A 10,856-nucleotide genomic window follows, 5' to 3' on the forward strand; every position below is an offset into this window, starting at 1 on the left:
TGCAAGAATGTTCTCCCACCCTTTATGTTGGGAAAGACAGTTTTTTGCATGACTGATCTTTCAGTTTAATTTTTTTATCTTCAGCACAGTGAATTGCGGTCCCAAGTTTTTATTTTTTATTTACAAAAGTAAACATCCCTAATGTATCTAAGTTTATAATTCAACTGCCAATTTAGTAAAAAAAAAAAAAAAAAAAAAAAAAAAAAAAAAAAAAACATTAAGATAATTTGAATCTGCTAAATGTTTATTGTGTTTTTGGAACCAATAAAATGATCAGCAAAAATTCTCTCTTATGCCAATATTCTACTCTTTTATTAACATTACCACCACCATCATCTCTCTTTTTGCTTCCTCCTCAAACTGCAGAATAGAGAGCTTGGATTTGCATGTAGGAGGCTGGCAGGGAAGGAAGCCAAGTATGTCATAGTAGAGGAGGAGGGTCTACATACTTCCTTGTATTAAAAAGGGAAACTCATGAAGCACCAAAGCACACAACGAAGGAGAGGAAGAAGGGAGGAAGGCACTTCACAAGCAGAGCTGAGCCAGCAGGGCAGCAAGGCAGAAAGGGACTGAGATTGTACCTGGAAGTATCCCAGTGGCTGGATATTCAAGGTAACTATTCCATTGTTCCCCTTTTCTTTCCTTTCTAATTCACTGCTTCTGCAATTCAGACGCTTCTGCATTTGAGGTGGTGATGCGCATGTCTCTGTGTGTCCTTTCTCTGTATTAGGAGATGACTGCAAGTAAAACCTGCACATTAGAAAGCAGTCCAGAGATACAAAAGCAGGCAGGGTTCTTCCTGAAAGGGAAATTCTGAAAACTCAGATTGTCTTTCATTATTTGGTCAATTTTTTAAAAAAAATATTGTTTTAAAGCATCTGGATCCTAGCATTTTGTATTATGAACAGATAAAAAGCCATAGATACGAGCTAATTCGAAGAGGCTGGAAATGCTGCTGAGGATTTTCTTTTGCAAGCAGAAGAAAAACTATTTTTTAATTCTCAGTTAAAGTTGTTTTCTCCTTTTGCTTACACTTCCAGTTCAGCTGTTACCTACTTTGCTTTCTTGAATTTCTCTGAACCTGAGTAACACAAAAGGTGGGAAGCACATTTCAAATTTAAATTGGTGGATTCATTCTTATAAGTGAGTGCATATTTAAGACAGACTGGTCAAAGAGAGAAGAGAAAGACGAGGGGTGGGGTGGGAGGTGCGGGGGTGGGGGAAGAGACTAGATTACAAGGATGAGGAAAAAGGGAGAGAGGGAAGGAGGGAGGAAAGGGGGAAGGGAAAGAGAAGAGAGGGGTGCTCTAGTCACAAAGATTTTGAGTTTAATAAAATTAGAAATGGGTCACTTATAAACTGATTTCTTTAGAAAATATTTCCTTTATATTTTCAGAAATAAATCAGGGGCCATTACAAAGAGGTTACAATATGGTGTGTTTTCATATTTCTGACTTGGCTTTTTCTTTCTCATTTGCTTTTAAAAACACTGGATCTTTGTTATAAATACTATAATTAGAAGCAGGATTATTTGACTGCAGAAAGTGAGGAATGCACACTAGCTACTTTCCTCAGTGCCATTGAAATGTTGAAATCTAAAGCTCAGCTCTTCTGGGCTTGCAGCGTACAGCTGAGTTCAATGATTTTTTTCATCTGATTTAAAACATTTACATTGTACATTGTCTCCTTTACTTTGTCCTTGAAGAGACTTTTATTTCTTTGATTTACTAAGGGCAGCTAACCACAAGCTCTTGTCAGCCTCTGGTTTATGGGCAGAAGAAAATAAATGGGACAACATTTCAGGATTCCCTAAAGGGCTATTTCTGAAAGAAGCATTTAAAACACTGAGAAATTGTTAGATTGAATGAACCATATTTTTCTTCTTCATGAACAAAGCCAGATAAACAGGAAACACTGAGATGGGGAAAAGGAGAAAGGAGCAATATCAAAAGATTTTTATATACAAAAGAGATTTTTACATTGCAAATACATGCGAACAAATAAAAAATCTTCCTGTTTGGGGAGTATGTCCTCCCTATTTTTATGTGATGATAATATAACAGAGACCGTGTAATTGGACATCTTTCATTGTTGGAGGAACTTCCTCCATTTTCATTTCTTTTAAAAAAGTCCCTTTTTGAGATTCTTAACTGTCAGAATAGTACTGCAAATAACTGTTAGGGTAAAATTTCTATTGTGTTTAAAATACGTTTGTGGTTGTCCCATGAAGAGGAAGCAGTTGAGGGTCTAGTACAGTTCTAGTCTTATCTTTTTGTCTTCTGACATTTTTCTCCTGAAATAAAGATCCTGTCCTTAGAATTTAGGTAAAAATTTCATTGTTAATTTGAGAGGGGAAATAGAATACTCTGCTTGACTCCTCAAATTGAATGTGATTCTTACTCATAAGGTTTTAGACCATCAGTTTACCTGGGAAGAAGTATCTTTAAAGTAACAAGAACAATAAGAAAGAGAAACCTGAAATCGGAAGGAATCAATTTTACACAGCTACTTTTCAGCTGCTTAATTGTGTTATAAAATAATATGTTCGAATTAGGAACAACTATCTTGGACTTTTATTATTGTTTTAGAAAATAATTACTTTTCTTGCATTCAGAAATCTGCAAAATCTGCATATACATTTCTTGTTCTTATACACACAGGTATTCAAAATAGATTTCTATAAATGGATTTCTACTCATATTATGAAATTGTGAAAGTAATTAGATTGATGTCACATTTGTTTGTTGAGGATTTACTCATCATTCAATAATTACTTACAGTCAGGCTTACAGTGCTGGGGATCCAGAGATATTTAAATCAAAACTGCTATGTATCTTAGGGGTTAATAGGCACAGACAGATAGATAAATAGATAATTCCAGTATGCTGTGATAACAGCTCCAATAGAGGTATGTCTAAACTACAGCAATAATAGAGAATATGAAGAGATGGGATGGGCAGTTAGAGAGGATGTTTTATTTTAGCAGAATCTTAATGGATTACTATGATACTTCTGGTGCCATAATCAACTCAGTGGATAGCAGTCCTTCACTGCTTTTACCACAAGCTTAAGGGTGCACATACAACCAACCATTCATTAAATACTATGTGCCAGACACTATGTTGAATACTTTATATGCATTATTTATAATTTCCTCCTCATCATATGAATTAGGATATTTTATTATATCCATTTTCTGATAAGAAAATTGAGGCACAGAGAGGGCAAGTAGTTTGCCCTAGCTAGTAAGTCTCAGGGCCAAGATTCAAACTCAAAACTGCTCAAAGCCACTATGCTACAGTATTTCACACAAAGCAACAGGGAGATTGGGGGTGTGGGTAGAGTAAAAGAGGACATTTCAGGCAGAGGGAATTGTAAGTTTAAAGCAGTGGACATGAATAAGTGGATGAGTTTCGTGAACTTGGTCTAGATCTAAGGTTGCTAAAATTTAGGGTTACTTAGGGGTGGGAAAGAAAAAGAAATTGTTGGAATTAAAGTCCAAGAGCAAGGCAAAGACCATATTGTAAAACATCTTACATACTGTGCTATATTTAATGTTTGAACTTCATTCTGTAGACTTTGAGCAATCTTTGACAATATGCAAGAAAGGCTAGAATCAGTTTTGCATTTTAGAAAGATAATTCTAGTTGTAGTATGAAGGTTCGATTAATGAGTAGATAATGAAAGCAGTAGTCCATATAAATAATTAAAATTGATTGCACATCTTATATCCTTTTGAGAAATGTGGGTTGCAATACTATTTACCTCATTGGTTTGTCATTAATATTTTCTAAGTGACCACATGAAATAGGATCAGAAGGAAACTGGCATACAGTAAGTGCTTCATAAATGTTAACTGTTGTTATTATTTATCTAACTTCTGTTATTATATCATATAAAACAGTAGGAAACAATATAAGTAAAGAAAAAGAACTGAGATTTCCCAATTTAATATAGAAATATGAGAAGTAGGCTAGCCTTTGTTGGGGCTTGAATTGGTCCTTGAAGTACAGATTAATGTTGAGGTGGTGGAATAAGGCTTTCCAAAAGGGGTAACAATATTAATAAAAGCAAAAAAAAAAAAAAAGAACATATCATGGGCAGGCAACAGTGACCAATACTTTTTTTCTACATGTAAAGAATTCTTACCATATGCAATCAAAACGGAGCAGTATGTGTAGTGGTTACGAACATGGACATTGGGATCTTACTGCTTGAGTTTTAACACAAGTTCAGCCACTTAGTAGTTATATGTTGGGGAAGTTTTCTTTTTAATCAGTTATTTACCAGTTGTGGCTAATAATAGTACTCACCTCATGGGCTAAGAACAGTACTTGGCACATAGTAAATCCTATGTAGTGTTAGATATTTTTATCATTAAAAAGAGACTGGGACTAGCTCATAGGTAGCTTTGAGTTCCAGGGTAAGGAGTTTGATTAGACATATAGGCAAAATAGAGCCACTTAAAATCGTTAAACAAAGAAGAAAGTTACATGATAACAACTGATCTGGTAGCAGTATTTAGGATATCTTGGAGTGTTGTGGGGGGATAGACGTGGATGGGTAGCAACCAGATAGACACACCAACTAGGAGATTCTCATATTAGTACAGAATGAAGAATGGGAAGTGGCACCAGTAATAACGTGTATGCAAGATACATCACAAAGGAATAATTTTTAGGTTAGTAAGGAATATGGATGAGAAAGGTGAATAAGTCAGTAAGATGACTCTGAGATTTCTCAATTTAAAGGTTTTATAACTGAGAAAATTGTGGTACCACTGACAGAAGAAAAAGGTCAGAAAATATAACCTGTTTGGGGAAAAATACAGACAGAAATAAAATAATAACAATCATTTTACAAAACACTTTCATATTTATGTGAGTGGTTTTGAACATGCTAAAGTCAAGGTGCTGCCAGGGCATTCAGCAAGTAGTTGCCAATATGGAATCAAAGTTTAGGAGAGAGAGGCCAGGATAGAATGATCATAGAGAACATGTACAAAAGTGTACAGTAAAGCAGAGAGGTGGAAGCTATCTGGGTGTTAACCACTGGAAGAATGGATGGTAAAATGTGCTGGATGCACACAACAAGGTGTTATGACACAGAAGCAGGTGATTAGATATAGCAACATAGAAGTATCTGAGTAATATAATGCTGAGAGTGAAAAAATGGGTAATGAAATACACAATAAGGTAACATATGCATATATTTGAAATGACAAAATCCATTTTGCAAGAATATGTACAAATAAAAAATACACTAAACTTATCAGAATGGTTGCTTATGATGAGGAAAAAGATAAGAATGGAAATAGAGCATGAAGATAAAGTAGAATAACTAAATGAACATCATGGAGGTGGGGAGCTTTGCGTGAATTGTGATAACATGCCTTAAGCTGAGGAGCATGACCCTCTGACACACTCACACTAAAAAAGAACATTGAAAAGTCAAACTATGTCTTATTTTTCTATGTCGTCATTCTCAAGTTAAAGAAAGAAATAATTATTATTGTTAAATACTTGAGATAATTATCTCAAGTTAAAAATAGTTAATTAGTATTATAAAAGGTTATGCTTTTGCTTGGGTTTCTTTTTCTTTTCTTTTATTTATTTATTTATTTATTTATTTATTTATTTATTTTGTTTTCTTCATTTGAGACAGAGTATTACTCTGTCACCTAGGCTGGAGTGCAGTGGTGTGATCACAACTAACTGGAGCCTTGACTGCCCTGGCTGAAGCTATTCTCCCACCTCAGCTTCCTGACAGTAGCTGGGACCACAGGAATGCACCACCACACCTATCATGTTGTTTAAATTATTATTTGTAGAGATGAAGTGTATAACCTGGCTAGATTGCTTGCCGTTCTTCATGTGCCGTGTGTATGTGTGCAGAAAATTAATTCTTATAAAAAAATCCTTATACTGTAAAACCCTTATTTAAAACTAATCTGTTTTGCTCTTGCAGATCATTATGTCCATGCCAGAGAAATCAAGTTATACCACCACTTCTTGGCCTTTTGCCTAAGATCAAGTGTAGAAATCAAGTTAAACCAAACCAAGTGAGGATTTCAGTTATTTCTCTGAAAAGCTGGAAGTAGTCTCTTTGAAAACCAGTACAAGATAAGGATGCCCTTTCTTTCCACTCCTATTCAACATAGTATTAGAAGTTCTGGCCAGGACAATCAGGCAAGAGAAAGAAATAAAGGGTATTTAATTAGGAAGAGAGGAAGTCTAGTTGTCTCTGTTTGCAGACGACATGATTGTATATTTAGAAAGCCCCATCATCTCAGCCCAAAAACTTCTTGAACTGATAAGCAACTTCATCAAAGTCTCAGGATCTAAAATCAATGTGCAAGAATCACAAGGATTTATTTACATCAACAATAGGCAAGCAGAAAGCCAAATCATAGGTGAACTCCCATTTATAATTGCTACAGAGAGAATAAAGTACCTAAGAATACAGCTAAAAAGGGACATGAAGGACCTCTTCAGGGAGAACTACAAAACACTGGTCAAAGATATAAGAGAGGACACAAAGAAATGGAAAAACATTTCACCCTCATGGACAGGAAGAATCAATATCATGAAAATGGCCATACTGCCCAAAGTAATTTATAGATTCAATGCTATTCCCATCAAACTACCATTGACATTCTTCACCGAATTAGAAAAACCTATTTTAAATTTCATATGAAATCAAAAAAGACCCTGTATAGCCAAGACAATCCTAAGCAAAAAGAACAAAGCTGGAGACATCATGCTACCTGACTTCAAACTATACGACAAGCCTACAGTAACCAAAACAGCAAGGCACTGGTACCAAAAGAGATATATAGACCAATGGAACAGAAGAGAGACCTCAGAAATAACACCAAACATCTACAACCATCTGATCTTCGACAAACCTGACAAAAACAAAATAGGAAAAAGGATCTTCTATTCAGTAAATGCTGCTAGGAAAACTGGCTAGCCATATGCAGAAAACTGAAACTGGACTCCTGCCATACACCTTATACAAAAACTAACTCAACATGGATTAAACACTTAAATGTAAAACCCAAAACCATAAAAACCCTAGAAGAAAACCTAGGAAATCCATTCAGGACATAGGCATGGGAAAAGATTTCATGGCAAAAACACCAAAAGCAATTGCAACAAAAGCCAAAATTGACTAATGGGATCTAATTAATCTAAAGAGCTTCTGCACAGCAAAAGAAACTATCATCAGAGTAAACAGGCAATCTACAGAAGGGGAGAAAATTTTTGAAATCTACCCATCTGACAAAGGTCTGATATTCAGAATTTACAAGAAAAAAACAACCCCATCAAAAAATGAGCAAAAGGTATGAACATACACTTCTTAAAAGAAGACATTCACGTGGCCAACAAACATATGAAATAAAGCTCAACAACACTGATCATCAGTGAAATGCAAATTGAAACCACAATGAGATACCATTTCATGCCAGTCAGAATGGCAGTTATTAAAAAGTCAGGAAACAATAGATGCTGGAGAGGATGTGAAGAAATAGAAATGCTTTTACACTGTTGTTGAGGATGTAAGTTAGTTCAACAATAGTGGAAGACAGTATGGTGATTCCTCAAGGACCTAGAACCAGAAATACCATTTGACCCAGCAATCTTATTATGGTGTATATACACAAATAATTATAAATCATTCTACTACAAAGACTCATGCACACGTATGTTTATTGCAGCACTATTTACAGTAGCAAAGACGTGGAACCAACCCAAATGCCCATCAATGATAGACTGAATGTGGTACATGTACACCACGGAATACTATGCAGCCATAAAAAAGAATGAGATCATGTTCTTTGCAGGGACATGGAAGAAGCTGGAAGCCATCATTCTCAGCAAACTAACACAGGAACAGAAAACCAAACACTGCATGTTCTCCTTCATAAATGGGAGTTGATCATTAAGAACACATCGACACAGAAAGGTGAACAACACACACCAGGGCCTGTTGGGGGGTGAGGGGTGAGGGGAGGAAACATAGAGGATTGGTCAGTAAGTGCAGCAAACCACCATGGCACATGTATACCTATGTAACATACCTGCACATTCTGCAAAAGTATCCAGTTTGTTTATTTTTTGTTTTTTGTGGGGTTTTTTTTAGAAGAAATAAATTAAAAAAGAAAGAAACCTGAAGATAATGGCTTAAATAGGATAAAAGTTTATCACACCTGTAAAAACTCCAAGTCCATTCCAAGGTGGCATGTTACTCTGCTCTACAAAGATACCAGGGGCCCAGGTTTGTTTTTTGTTTTTCTTGTGATTCTGCCATCACTGTGGTATTCACTTTATCCCTCATGTTTCAAGATACCCATAATAGAATTAAAGTCAGTGGGGAGAAGAAAAGAGGAGGGCTGGCCCCTTCCACTTTAACAATGCTACTCTGAAGCTGCTTTTTTTTTTTTTTCTGTTTTGACACAAAGTCTTGCTCTGTCACCCAGGCTGGAGTACAGTGGCACAATCTCGGCTCACTACCACTTCTGCCTGCCGGGTTCATGTGATTCTCTTCCCTCAGCCTCCTGAGTAGTTAGGGTTACAGGCACTCACCATCATGACCAGCTAATTTTTGTATTTTTATAGATATGGGGTTTCACCATGTTGGCCAGGCTGTTCTTGAATGCCTGACCTCACGTGATCCACCCTCCTTGGCCTCCCAAAGTGCTGGGATTACAGGCATGAGCCACCACACCAAGCATCAGAATACTACTCTGAAGTTTCATGCATTATTTTTTCACATGATATTGTCAAGAACCTATTCATGTAACAATATCTGTATTCAAGGAAATCTGGAAAACAATCTTTTTTTTTTTCCCCTGAGTTGCCATACACCTGCTTAACATGTCTACTTTTATAGCAAGGGAGAACAATTATTGAGAGATAAGTAGCAGTCTCTGTCATACTTTTGTAGAATCTTAATTTTGAGAAGCTGTAATTAATCTTGTAATTAATCATTTGTATACTTTTTCAAAAAACATTCATTGAATATCTAACATCTCACTACCAAGAGTAGATCAGGACCTCCTGTTCCACTCTTATAGATTCTAATACCTTTCATTTGTAACATTAGTTAATAATATTATGATTTTGAAATTTGATTAAAGCTTATCTTTCCCACAAGACTTTAGACCCCATGAAAGTGGATATTGTTGTTCATCATTTTATCTCTAATGCCTGGCACCTACTATGTGATTGATGTATAATTTTTGCATAAATAAATAAGTAAATAAATAACTGCTTGCCTGAATGCATCCATGTTATGCAACAGGACTACGGGCTGTATGGTAATGAAAGCAAAAAAAAATAAGTACATGTTGCACACTGACATCATCCTATGCTCAGCAATACCTGCCATTGAATCTAAGCTTCTGTGAGATTCAATATGGTTGACTGAATATCATTTTTTGTGCTCAAAAAAGTTTAAGCCATCACTTGCTCTACATGAGAGGTACACAAACCATGCACTGATTGAAAATATAGATGAAGTAGCCATTTTAAGACAAAAAAAACTGAGCTGATAGAGCTGAAAAACTCACTTCAAGAATTTCATAATACTTTCACAAGTATTAACAGCAGAATAGATCAAGCTAAGGAAAGATTCTCAGAGATTGAAGGCTAGTTCTTCAAATCAACTAGTCAGGCAAAAATAAACAAATAAAGAATAATAAAGAATAAGTGAAAACTCCAAGAAAAGTGGAATTATGTAAAGAGGCCCAACCTATGATTCATTGGCATCACTGAAAGAGAGGGAGAGAAAGCAAGCAACTTGAAAATTATATTTCAGGATTTTGTTTCTGAAAATATCCCCAACCTTGCTAGATAGGCCAACATTCCAACTGAGGAAATGCAGAGAAGCCATGTGAGATAATACAGAAGACAACAATCTGCAAGACCCATAGTCATATTTTTCAAGATCAATGTGAAAAAAATATTAAAGGCAGCCAGAGTGGAGGGGCAGATCATCTACAAAGGGAACACTCAGTCTAACAACAGACCATTCAGCAGAAACACTACAAACCCAAAGAAACTGGAGGCCTATATTCAGCATTCTTAAAGAAAAGAAATTCCAACCAAGAATTTCATATCCAGCCAAACTAAGTTTCATAAACAAAGGAGAAATAAAATATTTTCAGACTAGCAAATTTAAGGGAATTCATTACCACCAGACCTGCCTTACAAGAGGTCCTTTAAAAGGGAGTGCTAAATATGGAAATAAAAGACTATTAATGGCCACCACAACACACACTTAACTATAAAGCAAACACAAAATGAATTCTGCATAATAATCAGCTACCAATGCAATGACAGGACCAAGTTTGCACAAATCAATATTAATCTCAAATGTAAATTTCCCAATTAAAAGGCAAAGTGACAAGTTGAAAAAAGAAACAAGATTTAAATGTATGCTGTCTTCCAGAGACCTGTGATACATGCAATTACACCCATAGACTCAACATAAAGAAATGGAGAAAATACCAAGCAAATGAGGAAAAAAAAAAAAAAATAAAACCCAGAGGTTGTCATTCTAATTTCAGACAAAACAGACTTTAAATTGACAAAAATCAAAAAAGACAAAGAAAGGCATTACATAATGCTAAAGGGTTCAATTCAACAAGAAGACTTAACTATCCTAAATATATATACATCAACACAGGAACACCGAAATTCCTAAAATAACTTAGTGACCTATGAAGAGACTTATGTAATCACACTGTAACAGTGGAAGACTTCAACACCCCACTGTCACTACTACACAAAACAATGAGGGAGAGAGCTAACAAAGATATTCAGAACTTGAACTTGACACTTGACCAAATT

At 35.6% G+C, this 10,856-nt stretch overlaps 1 long non-coding RNA gene across 1 annotated transcript; it reads left to right on the plus strand.

Moving 5' to 3' along the window:
• Positions 1 to 487: 487 nt before the first annotated feature.
• LOC124905194 (uncharacterized) lies at positions 488 to 9,272 on the plus strand. The gene is made up of 2 exons (XR_007068248.1): positions 488 to 612; positions 5,968 to 9,272. It is a non-coding gene; the product is annotated as an uncharacterized LOC124905194 (long non-coding RNA).
• Positions 9,273 to 10,856: the final 1,584 nt, after the last annotated feature.

This window comes from Homo sapiens, chromosome X (genome assembly GCF_000001405.40).
Source record: "Homo sapiens chromosome X, GRCh38.p14 Primary Assembly".
Taxonomy (NCBI): Eukaryota; Metazoa; Chordata; class Mammalia; order Primates; family Hominidae; genus Homo; species Homo sapiens.